Consider the following 14969-nt stretch of genomic DNA (forward strand, 5'->3'; position numbering starts at 1 on the left):
AGCCCACTCACTTTCTCCCACAAACTCTTAACGGGACAAAGTTCAGGAGGCATTAAGCAACAAGGTGCCTTTAGCCAGGGTTTGGAAACACAAAGAAATCTTGAATTGCTGGTTCCAATTCTAACCACAGTAAGAAAAAAGTTAAATGATGTTTCAATTAAAGCACTGAGTGACCAGCACACTTATAGCTAGTATAGGAGAAAACAGTCAATATTCCAAGAATGGTGCCAGAGTAAAATGGAAATCTTATGAGTTTTTATTATATACTTGTCAGGCTTATTATAAGGTGGTATATTCAATTTAAAAGCTGCCTATCAGTTACAAAACTATATGCAAAAAATTTTAAGGATTTGTATACTCTAGCTTAAGAGGTAGAGAATGCATGCAGTAGATAGTGCCAAAGAGCCCTTTGGGACTGTCTAAAAGAATATCATTAATTTTTACAGTGTACTTCCATTTCTGGAGCAGTTCCAGCATTGGCTTTCTATAAAAATCATTTCAAGTTTAGAATTATGCTATTTGCTTGCAGCAACATCACAGGAGCAGTAGTGCGCCATATGTTGCTACTTAGCAACTTAGTCTATAAGTCCCAAAGCATGTACTGATTTGAAAATTGAACAGGAATTATAATTGTTGAGTGATGCTATGAGGCAAGTTGTCTTGGATTACTAAACTATGCAGATGTTTGATGTTATGTAGGAAAAGGAAAAAACTATTTTTTTTTTCCCTGCAGGATGACTAAAATCTTATTTATGGTTGCCTAAAGGGGTAAATTGATTAAAATTCCCTAAAAGAATACCAGGTAATGAATTCTTGAACACACACTATTACAGTAAACAAAAGGAATGTTAAGTGTAAAATTTAGCTAAGGCCATTCAACTTATGTAATTTGTGAAGTTTATTTTTCTCCAGAGTATGTATTATCTTACACTAGTCTAAATTTTAAAACAGCACATTCTAAAAACATTTTCATATATGCTACACTATTTTTTTAAGTGTTTATTTCTGGATCACAAGCCTGCCCTATCTTTATAAAGCACAAAAGTATTTGGGGCTCTTCTTTACAAATTATCACTGGTATCCAAAACATTCTTAGTAACTCCTGACTGACATATGAAGAAAAACAATGTTAGTTGTTTGATTTCAGTAAGGGCTTAATATTATGCATTGTACTTGAATTTTAAAATCTAAGGAGCCAAGTCATTATGATGTATATGTTCTGAATTTCCAATCCTTTATCCAAAACTCTTTAAGACGGACATAATGATTCTCTAAGAGGGAGCAGCTGCTTTATAACAGCCATCATTTATTGAGTTTGTGTTTCTACTGTTTCAAACAAATTCAATTAGCCCTTACACTTCAAAACCCTAAAGGCACCAAAGAGATGATACCAGGTTGCTTTAATCTAATAGTAATACTAAACTTGTCAGTACAGTTTTGGGATTGATGGTTAGAAGAAAATTAATAGTAACATTTTTCATTTTTTAATCAAACAGTCCTGTTCAGAACTACCTATGGATCTTGGAGGCTACTTAGCCAAATGAATTCAGTTAAGGAAGAATTCTAAATGCAAAGCTCAGCCTTCCAAAAGTATTCTTAGAGTGAACAGCTCAGTTGAATGGAAGGCAATGTAGTCAGGATCTTTGAACTTCATGATGACCTTTTCAGCTGAACAATACTGTGTAGTTTCCAGAATATCTGCCAGAGAAGGCAGTAATCCTAATGACTTCTAAATGCAAAGTTCAGGGAGATGCAGGCCTGCCTCTGTTTTGAGTTAAGTATGAGACATTTTGGTCACAGAGTGCATCCTTAACATATACATTAGATTTAATTCACTGACAACCTTAATGAAGAAAAAGAAGTTTTATGCTCCCTCCCAACCCCATTCCCCAACCACTCCCAGTTATTAAATCTATATGTGTGGATATGTAGGCATTGAACATTACTAAGAGGTTATTTTAGAATTACTAACATATGAAATTCCAATCTACCATGGTTTTTACCATTCTAGAAAAAACAAGTTTGTGTCAACAAAATGCCCCTGTGAACTGTTCCTTGCTTTCACTTATTCGTTTATTTATTTTTGCTTACAATGTTCTTATATTTTACGTTATACTGGTATCCAAGGGCAGTTATAATTTGGCTTTAAATGTTCTGCTGAATTAAAGGACCTGGACTTAAGTATCTAAAAATAAATAGTCAAACATTTACTTTTATAAGTGTAACCATTTACATTCTCATTGGACTTTTGTTGTCATTTCTCATGATTAAATACCTTGTCAACTATTCCCAGTGAAATGTATACAAAGGTGCCCTTGAAAGGTTTCAATCATATCATGTTTTTTGGCCTGAAAGCTCCTCCCCAGCCCCCACTCCTTACCTCCCCAGGAGACCGTGAAAGCAGCCTTCTAGCCCCACCGGCCATGGGATTTGGGTTACGAACGTTACGTTTTGTTGAAAATGGCCCCAACCATTGATAATTAAAGCTATTTGTGACACGTGTAGCTTATAATGATTAAATCATCTACAGTCAGAAGCACAAATATCCTGCACCTGTAAAGACTTTATTTCCTAAAGGTAAAACAACTGTTTAGGAAAGATCATGCTGGCAAAACAGCTGCCTGACGTTCTGGAGAGGAAACAAGGTAGTATCTTTCAACAAATGCCAACTCTGGCGTTTTATCAGCTCTATCTCATTAACTGGAAACAAGGCTTAAATGCTTTGTTTATAAATTATGATTATTCCTGATTGCGGCAGTTACTGATAGTGCTACTCATTTGCAATGCAACTCTTTGAATTTGTTTAATTACAATTTGAAACAAGGCAGAGAAGATTAATTAACCCACCTGGCTGGCTGGCACATAGTCCTGGCTCGGCTCTGTCATGCTCATATACATGTTCTCACCGTCAAACTGCGAATGAAATAATAGTAAACATTCAGCAATCTTGACTGCGGGTATGTTTGGTTTTTATTTGTTTTGTTTTGTTTTTTAACCATCAAACTGGAAAACAGTAGCCATAAAAAATACTGCGGCTGGGACTATGGAAAATCTGTCACAGCAAGCGAGCCACATCTTTGATGTTTCTGTTGTCATCCTTACTGACCCTGGATGTCAGTGATTTGGAGTAATTAGTGCTCTAGTAATTACAGCAAGCAAGCAAGAAATGAATGGTTTCCTTTCATCTGCAATCTGTTTTAAAACAAAATGGCTCATTTTGCACGCCATGTATACATATTGCAGTTCAGTTGTAATGAAGTATTAAATGAATGGCATGATTTCTGAAAGAAAAGAATAACGAAAAATACACGAAGGCACAGCTCGGTGCATTCTGAGTTTAGCTCTCAAAAAAGAAAAAGTGCAGAGTTTTCATAATAGACTAAAACTGGCATCATCATAATAGCCTTCTGATTAAGAAAAATTTAACTTTATAATAATATTTGAAAAGAGCATGTGTCACTACAACCATGGCTAAGAATGATAATAACAATAAAAATACACAGGCACAATGAAATACTCCTTTTTGAAATATTTCAGATATCGAATTTATGTATTAAAAATGCATAGAAATTCATACGCAAATTTTCAAGTTAGGAAAAGGATGAAAGAAAGAAATTCGCAGGGGCAGCACAATTGGAGAACTCTCAAATAGTTCAAGCAACAACAACAATAACAACAACAAAATACTTTTCAGTATTTGGGGTTTTGCAAGTAGTCATCACTCTACTCAGACTTAATCCTCAGCTATTTTTAGTCACTTGATAGATGAGCAAAGCATTTCTCTTTTAGTTAGAGGAAGAATTTTTCCAAGGTAATAATCAAATGGATGAACACAATAACTTCACAGAGCTGGGTCTGAATATACTTTCATTGGTGGACTAACTTCAGACATGGGGAATTGGAAGTCTGAATTATTATTTTTGAAACAGAATAGTGTTATTGATAGTGGTGCAAACCATGGTATTATGGACATACTTCATATACTATGAAAAAATGGTGTTATATAAGAACATAAAAAATATTGTACTATAGACATCTCATTCCACCACCTATGAACTGCTAGCAGAAGGTTATACCAACATGAGGGTCGCTCACAGCCTCTAAACTGTAATTGCCAGAGTGGGTGCCCTGAAAATTCACGTCAACATAAGCTGTAAATAAAGACCTCCCTAAAGACATGGAAGCACTCACGAGACTAAGCTCAGAGAATCAAAGGATTTCTTCGCACATCACCCTAAAAATATATTTCACATTATGTGAACAACTTATCTAAACAGAATGAAATTACTTACTGAAAGATGTGGTTGTTAGAGCAAATAAAAAATAGTACAAGTGGAAAAAGAAAAGCTGGGTGTTTTGGTTGCTCTGTCAACTGGCTCATGAACCCGGAGTTAAGTGACTTACCCCAGGTTGCTTTTCCATTGAACAGGTGAACTCTTTTTTTTTTTTTTGAGATGGAGTTTCACTCTGTCACCCAGGCTGAGTGAAATGGCGCGATCGCAGCTCACTGCAATCTCCGCCTCCCAGGTTCAAGTGATTCTCCTGCCTCAGCCTCCTGAGTAGCTGGGACTACAGGTGCCCACCACCATGCCCAGCTAATTTTTGTATTTTTAGTAGAGGCAGGGTCTTGAACTCTTGACCTCAGCCTCCCAAAGCCTGCCTCAGCCTCCCAAAGTGCTGGGATTGCAGGCATGAGCCACCATGCCCAGCTGAACAGGTGAATTCTTTTCAACACAAAGATAGGCCAGCCCCAACCAATCTGCCTGTTACTCCTAACAACTCAAGACCTAACAAAGAGCCTCACTGTGCATTTCTTCATCTCCACCCACTGTTGGAGTACACTGGTTTGTTTGCAAATGGTTTTCATGTTAAGGTGCCAAGGAACCGTTTAAAATATGGACAGTTTCTCTGACTGTAACAAACTAAACCGAAGAAGTGGAGTGAACCAAATACTCCACTGCTTGTGCATATTCTATAAATGTGTTACTTTCTATTTCATCTTCTCTAACTCATTTTCTAAATCTGGTGTTGTTCTCAAGCCAGCTAAAGGCTTTGAAGTTTTGGGTTGAGTCTATCCAACATGTACGCTAATTGAGTACATTCAGTGTTACTGCTCTTGATGAAGTCTCTTTCCTCAAGAAGTACCAACACTTAGGTAATATTGAGCCAAGACTAAAACAGCATTTTACCATAAAAGACTTGTGGCTATCGGCATTATAACTATATTTTTAAGTATATTTTATGTTCCTGCCACCTGTATCTTTACATGTATTAACTGATTTAAGCATCACAAAACCAAGAGTTAGGTATTATTATTACCTACATTTTACGAAAGAAGATACAAAGGCACAGATAAGTTAAGCTAGATGCTTCAAGCTACATAGCTTGTGAGAGGTAGGGCTGGGATGCAAACCCAGGACCCCTGGCTTTTTAGCCACCCATGCACTTCACCACCAGAGCATATCAATATATTCTGAATCATAATGATAAGTTAGCTATCAATTCTGAAAATAACATCAAAAAATTATCAAAGCAGAGTGATGACATTATCTCAATGACACTTAGCCCAATGTGGTGGCACATGTCTGTGGTCCCAGCTACTTGGGAGGCTAAGGTGGGAGGACTGCTTGAGCCTGGGAGGTTGAGGCTGCAGGTATATTATCCAGAATTTGTGGTATTGTGAGAATTTTTTTAAGTGTCGTGAGGAGCTGTCAACCTAGTATTTGGCCTGGCAGAAAACTGAGAGAGGGAATTATGGTTAATTCTATAGGTCAACTTGACTAGGCCATGGGCTGCCCAGGTATTTGGTCAAACATTCTTCTGGGTGTGTCCATGAGGGTGTTTCTGAGCGAGAATAACATGTGAATTGACAGACTGGGTAAAGCAGATTGCTCTCCCCAAGGTGGGTGGGCCTCAGCCAATTAGTTGAAGGCTTGACTAGAACAGTAAGGACTGACTAGAGTAAATGAATTCCTCCTGACTCACTGTTGAGGTGAGACATCAGTCTTTCACTGTTTTGGGGCATGACTTGAAATAACATTGGCTCTTGTTGGACCTCAAACTTGCCAGCTTTCGGTCTGGAACTACACCATCGGTTCTCCTGGCTCTCCAGCTTGCTAACTGCAGGTCTTGGGACATCTCAGTATCCATAATCATGTCAGCCAATTCCTTATACTGAATCTCTTTTGATAGATAGAAGATAGATAGATAGATATATATATAGATAGATAGATAGATAGATAGATAGGTAGATAGATAGACAGACAGATACATAGATCATCTATCCATCCATCCAGTTGGTTTTGTTTCTCTGGAGCACCCTAATACAGGTGGCTTTTAAAAATTACTATCAGGATATTCAGAACTCCTCCAAAAGTGTATTTCTGGGGAGCCTACAATATACAAATGTATTTATTTCATGCTATCACTTGCTTTCTAGAGGAGAAGAGCCATGTTGATTTGCTATGAGACTCTCTGCTCACAGTTCCTATCACACCCACTTCCTGTGTTCCAGTTCATCCCACCCACATAATCACACCTCTTTGTCCAGAATGCCTTCCTTCCCTTTCACTTGTCGCAGTGTTTTGTAGACTCCTCACCTCTCCTTAGTGAGGGCTGGGCTGTCTGCAGGCTCTGGGCTCCCCTAGGCAGCCCTCTGTTTCAGGGCAGGTTTTGTTGGGGGATTGATTCCACTAGACTGGGAGCCACCAGAGGGAATGGTGCATACCTTCCTTATCTTTAGTGCCTCTATGGCTTAGGGCTGGCACGTAATAGGTCTTCGGAAATGTTTATTGCCTAAATAAGAAAAACTGAAACATATTTGCTGGATTAAATATATTATCTTTCTAGAGAAGGTGGTGACTTGAGAAGAGGATGAATTTCAGCTTTCGGAGAATGGTTTGATGGCTTTTTAAGGCAGGTGACTCAAAGTCTTACAGTGGATTAAGACTGATATAAGCACAGATGCCCTTAAAGAGAACAACAACGACAACAACAACAAAAAAGAATAAAAAGAAAAGAAAGTACAGAAATGGCCAGGGCACCATTACTCAAATGTTAGATTCAGTTCTTCCTCAGGATTTTTATTTAATAAAATTTTATTTAATATAAAACATATAGACTGGTCAGGAATCAAGAGACCTGGCTATAAATAAAATGTGTATGCCCTCTCTCCAAAGAATCTTGAGCTGCCAAATAAAAATACGTATGTGTATCAGAATAGGCGTAGTCATTCCCATTGAGGTTGAAATCTCGTGGTTGGACACACTCCAGGGCCCAGGTGAGAAGAGTAAGCCAAGATCCCAGCATTCACAGGACCTTTCCCACCCCACCCTATCAGGTTAATATTATCACTGCACTGTCACAGCTCCGTCCAACCACACCCTGACCAGGAGCTGGTTCCAGGGTTCTCAGCAGGCCTCCTGCTGACCCAACAATCTTAGAAAGCACCCCATGCCATGGGCTTGTGGACAATTGTCACTTGAAGTAGAATTATAGCTCTTGGTCTTAGAAGTGTGCTTGTAGAATGAGGCCTGAAACCATCATATCAGAATCTCTCATGTCATGATTGAATAAATAGACTTTGTATTGTTTATAAGGTTCAGCTGGGGATAGAACTAAGGTCTGGATTCTTAGTAGAAGAGTTTTCCACTATGACATACTGCTTTTTACTCCAACACTCATAAAAAATGAGGAATCAGACTCTGACTACAGCTTTATACTTCATCTCCATAAGAAGTGGGAATAGACTCAATGGCTATTTGTAGCTGGTGTGTGTGTGTGTGTGTGTGTGTGTGCACCCTACAGACCTGAAGGCACAGCATTCACATTACCACATTCTAATGACCCCACTTCACTCTACCTGGATTACAGATTAGGTGAGCATTATTAGTAACTATTGCAATAAAATCGTATTTATTAAATATAACTAACTGCATTTCCTTACTCCGTATGCTCATCACAGTTATTATTCTTAGAAGTCAACTGAATTTAGGCATCATAACTTTTCAAAATATATCTAAGCATACTAGGGCTTTTAATTTCCATGTATTCTCAATTTAAAACCTGAAGCAAAGTTTGAAAGAATAAATAGGCTGATTTATTTAAATCTAAATGTAAATGGCATCAACCTAGGATCAGCCTTCTTGACCAAGCGCTTTTAGACTCTTTATTGTGTTTTTATTTCAAAGCACCAGGGGATGCAATCATATAAAAAGTCATTTATAATCTTCTACTTCAGTTTTTTGAAATTGTTTTTAGAGGATATTAACCAAACCCATAATCCCAAAGAGCTTTCAAACTAGGTAGTTATTATTTCTTTTATTTAAAAATTGAAAGGAGAAATCTAGCAATATCTGAACATAGCGAATGACGAGCAAAAATGGGCGATATTAGGCTACCAAAACCACAAAGACAAGAAAAGTCAAAAATAGAATGTGAAGTGTAAATCAGTCATTGGCACTGGTACAGAAAATGGGAACATTTTAGGGAAACCATTAAAAGAAAATCAGAAAACTGCTGCTGAGGGGGAAAAACAGCCTCATGGAATTCATGAAACAGTACCACATTGTATTGCCTACAAAGGGAAAAATCTTACATTTCTGGGTGTTTTCTGAAAGAATATTTGATACTTTGATGTTTGAAAAGAAGGGCTAAAAATGGAAATGTTTATAACAGGGGGTCAATTTGACATTTCTTAGATGATGCATTATAATAAATCATTTTTAGAGAGGCTAATATCCCCAAAACAAAATTTCCATTTTTGTATTCCTTGGCCCAGTATAAGATTACGAGTCATCGTTTTTTTTTTTTTTTTTTTTTTTTTTTTTTTGGTAACAGAAGAAATAAGGTTGGGCAATGAAGACTTTGTTGTTTCCTAGAAGCAAAGCATTTTGAAAGTTAAGCATCAAATATAGGGTGATAATACGCATAGTTGTAATGCTGTTCACATGCACAGTCACACAGATCCAGTGAAAACTGAGCAAAGCTAACCCCCACACTTACTGCACATCCTCACCAGTCTCAAGAGAAGATGTCAGGAGGCACTGGAGAAGGAAGAGGTGTCTATTTATCTGCTAGTGTCAAGGCTGAACCTGTTGATGATACAAGTCTTAAGTCAGTCTGCCTCCATGCTGAGCCCAGCTGAATGAAACTGGTTCTGAGCACAGCACAACTGCAGAAGTGGATCACACTGAAAGGAAAGAGACCAGACTGAGCCGAGGCTATCAACACCCAAAGAAAAGAAAGCGGAGTTACTCTGCTAGTGCTTTTTATGGATGTGCATTCCAACTCAGGAGCACACAGAGCTGAACTAGGGAAGAGCAATCCCTCTTGATTGGGCTCCTGTCACTTGAACTTGAGTGGTAAACACTCAACTACAGATCTGAATGGTATGGAGAGGAAGAATGGCCTGGGTACAGTGCGGCTGCTTGGAAGACTTGGCCACGGGTGGGCAAAAGATAGTGCTAGACCCACAACTTAGAAGCTGGACTCCACTTTGGGGCTGAGTTTGTATTTTCATTTTTGTCCCAGTGATATACTTATTTGGAGGAATATTAGATATTCTTTTTGTTAACTGTGAAAACTGAAATTTTCAATAATAATAATAATACTATGCATTTATCCTAAACCTGTGGCTCCATGGCATGAATCTCAAGAGAGAAACACGACAGTTTCCCTCTGCTGTTAAGGGTAAGGCTACAATGCAATGTTTTTCATTGTTGTGTTTTTGGTTTTTTGTTTTTAACCAAATACACCAAACTTATGATTCAAGTTATTCTTTTTTTTTTTTTTTTTTTTAGATGGAGTCTTGCTCTGTCGCCCAGGCTGGAGTGCAGTGGCACGATCTTGGCTCACTGCAAGCTCTGCCTCCCGGGTTCATGCCATTCTCCTGTCTCAGCCTCCTGAGTAGCTGGGACTACGGGCGCCCGCCACCACGCCCGGCTAATTTTTTGTATTTTTAGTAGAGACGGGGTTTCACCGTGTTAGCCAGGATGGTCTCCATCTCCTGACCTCGTGATCTGCCCTCCTCGGCCTCCCAAAGTGCTGGGATTACAGGCGTGAGCCACCACACCCGGCCAAGTTATTCTTTTAACTAGTATTAAGTAGTCACTTAGTAAGCTCTACAAGTAAGATAATGATGCCACAGTGGTTCAAACCAGTTTGAACTTCTTCCTTTGGAGGCCCTCTCTAATTTCACTAAATATATGAAGCCATTTAATTTTTGTAATAATCCTGTAATATTATTACTCTTATTTTATAGATGACAAAACACAAGGGAGTCCAGTAACTTGTCTGTGATGGATCCAGTTACATGCTCCCCAGATCTGCTCAGCCTGCCTGACCCTCAGGCTTCTGACCTTTGCTTCCAGGAACAGCTGACACTGTTCCCATGTAGCCTCCAGAGGCACCACTTCCATTGCCACCACAGCTACAAACCAAGGTGTCCCCAAGCACAGCAGCAATTTATATAGATAAGCTTTGCACCTGGCTGGAGCTGAGGAGGTTTTGGGTAACATACTCTGAGAGTGCAGGGAAATTTCCTATTGTCCCATGGAAGGACTGGCTCATGATGTCCTCTGTAGCACCTCTATGTCCCTCATGCCCAGCAACCAGCGATGAGTTGTTGCAAAGCTATGGCCACTTGGAAATATACATCTTATGTTTTCTTCTCCATGCCTCCCTGCCTTGCTTACTTTCCCCTCACTCTGGTTTCCCTGGGCTTACATTCCCAGCATTAACACTCAAGCTTTCACTGCAGGCTCTGCTTTCTGGGAACCTGAACTAAAATAGTGCCCAATGGTACCAGTTAGTAAGTGACAACACTCTTAACTGCAATGCTATGCTAATCTCACTCCATCTTTGTTCTGCTTTCATTATATTAAAGAGTCATCGATTCTATTTTAATTCCATATGCAAAGACAGAAACAAACTTATGAAACAGTGATAAATAGAAGAAACAAGAATTGCCTATATCATGAAAGCATTACTCCATTTGAAAGAAAAAAATGCAAGTTTCTAGAAAACTTCATTAACCCTAAACTTTCAGTACCAAGCAATCCATTTTCATTATATATTGTTTAAGAAAAGAATATGTGGATGAAAGCTTAACTATAAAACCATTCTGGTGAATTTAATGAAAATAAGTTTAATAAAATGAAGATATGGATTTTACAAAAAGGCCTCCACAGGGTGTCTGATATCAGAAAATGAGGAGCAAAGACTTCGGCTTCTTTGTAGGAGCCTTCTTTTTCAAATGAATTCCCAAGTAATTTCTGAAATTCTGTAATGATTAAAGCTGTAAAACTATACCGTATAGTTGAAATTCAGCACAGTTTCAAATGATTGGTTCAGAACACTCCTCTGACTTTTCATGTTTTAGACAAATTTTTTCTGAATCCATCTACGAAGGAAAAATTTGAGAAGTGCATTCAAACTTGCTGCCGAAACTCACTTATTTCCACATCCTATCAGCTCTCACCTCATTTACCACAGTACCTAAATTCAACATAGATGTGGAATGAAAAGTATGAAAGTAATTACTTTTTGGGGGTTGGACCTTTTATTGCTGCTATTTCTTTTTAAGCACAGTGAATATTTTTCAGTATCTGATAGATGCATAGAGAAAAAAGTAAGAATATTTTTCTACACATATCTGGTTTGGAACAGTATGCTCAGTTCTAGGAACCTCAAAACAAAACAAAACAAAAAATAAGACTAGTAAGTCAAGGCACTGGAAAGGTTATGGGAAGAGAATGACAGATGTATTAAAAAGAACAACAGAGAAGTTGTATTTAGGTGACCACTGAGTGGGTTGAAACGGTAAAACTTTTTTAAAAAACCAAGGACAAACGATTCTTGAATAACTTTGAGATTAAAAGTGGTAGTATCAAATAAAAATAAAATACAAATAAGAAGGTACAGGTTATTAAGATGGAGATTCTCACTTCCCTATTATTATTACTCAGACAAATTACATCGTGACTAAGTATAACAATTATGTGACAGAAATAGACTTTTGGTGATTAAACTCTCCTGGGGTAAGACAGGTGTGGAATGGTATTTTGGTATGCTCAGGCAAACCTGACCAATTTGAAACACATGAGGGTCAGTCTAGAACTACTCCATTTTTTAAGAGATATTTGACATTTATTTTTTCAGATTGCAGAGTTTCTGTTTTCTAAATGAAAACATGTCATTTTAAATAACTGGATTCAATGGCAAATCCTTCACGACATTGAGTATGAGTATGGATTTGTCCATTGTGAACCGAAGCAAAGCTCTGTTTACATATCTTTTGCATTTTAAGGAATCTGAGAAGTCTTTCAATCCATCATCATATCCGGAGTATAATGTTTTATTTTTTACATCTTCAAGTACTACATAGTTATATTCATTATTGCCTAGTTGCCCTTCATAAAACCTCATGATCTCATGTAACTTTCCCTGCTGATTTATCTAAATTTTTATGAAGATTATAGAATAATTTTCATTGCTTTAGTTTAAGGCTTCACACATAAGATGTCCCCTTCACAAGGCATATGCATTCAATGTATTTCAGATTTTCAGTTCCAAAGTGTCTTTGCTTATAGCACTTCTATCTCCTCTACACCGAGATCATTCTCCACTCCTGTTTGATTTTTTATAGCATTTTTCAAATACTTCATCCTCCCCTTTGACAATGTCCATTTTATCATATGTTGCCAGAAACATGTCAAAGCCAAAACTGGAAGACTTGCTGGAAACAGCATGCTTGCTTCTACTCAAAGCCTTATTTATTCTGCATTGTGAGAGATGATTGGTGCCCCTTGTCTTACTTTCTGGAATGTCACCATGTGATGCCCTTTTGCTGAAAAATTTGGAGAACAAAGTATCACCACATGATGCTAACAGGCACAAACCACCTAGTATGGTCTTGTTGATACATTAAAATTAAATGATCATTAATATACTCCTAGATAAAAAATGTGATATCATTCATTCATTCAACAAATGCTCATTTTGTGCCTACTTATATGCCAGGTACACACATGCATTAACTCATTTAATCCTCACAACAACCCCACAGTCAGTCAGTTTCCACGTTGTTTTACCAGTAAGAAAACTGAGTCCTGGAGAATTAAGTTTTAAATATTTCCGACATCACTCCTGTCTGCATCTACCTCTCTATTTTCTCTTGTCACTCTACATTTTATCCTTGCTTAGTGATTTTCATATGACCAGATAATCCCCATCTCTATGCTTACCCATCATCTCATCTGCCTAAAATACTTCTCCAGCTCCCACTTCCTTCTATTTCTCCCCTTATTTACTACTAATTAGATGATCATAGAATTTATCCTCCAGCTTGGAACACTTCTGACAGTGCCAGGAGGTAAGATTACTAATTATGATTGAATAACATGCAGAAACTTGAAGTCTCCCAGCCAAGGAAAACCTTACCACCAGAAGGTAATCCTTCCCTGACCTCATGGATGATTGAGGTGCCTTCTCTGTGCCTATGTCTGTGCTTTAAGGCATCTTGTGCTTATCCCAGCCCACATCTCTTTCTACTGTTGTTGCTTCACTACCTCTTTCCTATATTGAACTATGAGCATTTTGAGGGCAGAGACCGTCCTAACTTACATTTCTATCTCTAGCACTTAGCATAGGCTTAGCACATTTTATTTAGTCAATGACATTAAATGAATCACATAAATCCAGGGCAATACTGTCACAACTAAAAGTATTTCAGAGATCTCACCATTCCATTATTCTGCAGTAACATTTATTCCATATTCTTTCATTTCTAAATCAAAGTCTGTCCATGGAAATAGCTAATTTTCCAGGGATACTGGAAAAAAGTTTCTGTAAACCAGATCCTACTTTAGTTTTCCACATCTTCCTATTCTAAAGAGACCACTCAGTCACTCTAGTTTAAATAGTCTGAAAAGTAGTTCATTTTTTCAGAGTTTAGATAATGGCTAAAAGCTTCATGGTACCAAGTGGTCAAGTCCTTAACCTCCTCCTTGATTCTGGGGGTCCGTTCTAATAAGCAGATTGTGCTAGAGCTGCTCCAGATCACACTGGTTTGTTCTTTTATGCCAAAAGCAAACTGCGGGTGGGCACTGCTCTGAATCTGTAGCAGCACGATGAGGAAAAACGACTAGAATGGCAGACACTGCCGTTCTTTCCTTCCCATCGCCCACATGGCGTGTGGGAAATTCAGGGCTCTGCTTCTCTTGTAGGTAAGGCAGAATAGGACAAAATGAGGACAGATTCTATCATGGAGTGGGTTTGAAATAAGGAGACCCAGAGAAGAGTCTGGGTTCTGACAGTTCCTAGCCGACTAGTCTTGGGAACGAGAGTAAAAATTGTTCTTGCTCTACGTAATTATGTCAGATTTAGATGAGACATGCAAGAGCATTTGTAAATTATAAAGCACTATACATATGGAAACTATGGTACTTCCCCCTCATGGCAAGTTTATTTGACTGTTTCCATCATTAATTGGAAAGATCAATAGGCGGGAAGTAGTGGAAAGAATCAGATTCGGTGTGCCCTCAATTTGCCTGTGAAAAGGTCTTTAATATGGAAAGTTATCTGTAGATTTTTTTCGTTTTGTTTTTTTTTGAGATGGAGTCTCTCCTCTGTCACCTAGGCTGGAGTACAGCAGCGCGATCTCAACTCACGGCAACCTCCGCCTTCCGGGGGTTCAAACAATTCTCTTGCCTTAGCGTCCACAGCAGCTAGGACTACCGGCATGCACCACCATTACCAACTAATTTTTGTATTTTTGGTAGAGATGGGATTTCACCATAATGGCCAGGCTGGTCTTGAACTCCTGACCTTAGGTGATCCACCTGCCTTGGCCTCCCAAAGTGCTGGGATTACAGGCGTGAGCCACCATGCGCAGCCTACATATTATTTTTTATCTTTATGTAAATGCAGTTATACCTGAAATATGAAATAATGGGAGGAAAGTAATGAAA

The 14969-nt window shown here is 38.3% G+C and overlaps 1 protein-coding gene across 1 annotated transcript in view; it reads right to left on the reverse strand.

Moving 5' to 3' along the window:
• TOX (thymocyte selection associated high mobility group box) overlaps positions 1-14969 on the reverse strand; it is a 313736-nt gene that overhangs the window by 151684 nt on the left and 147083 nt on the right. The window contains exon 2 of the mRNA NM_014729.3: positions 2848-2913. Coding sequence (NP_055544.1) covers positions 2848-2913 — 66 coding nt within the window. The remainder of the gene's footprint in view (positions 1-2847; positions 2914-14969) is intronic.

The sequence above is a fragment of the Homo sapiens genome, chromosome 8 (genome assembly GCF_000001405.40).
Source record: "Homo sapiens chromosome 8, GRCh38.p14 Primary Assembly".
In the NCBI taxonomy this organism is placed as follows: Eukaryota; Metazoa; Chordata; class Mammalia; order Primates; family Hominidae; genus Homo; species Homo sapiens.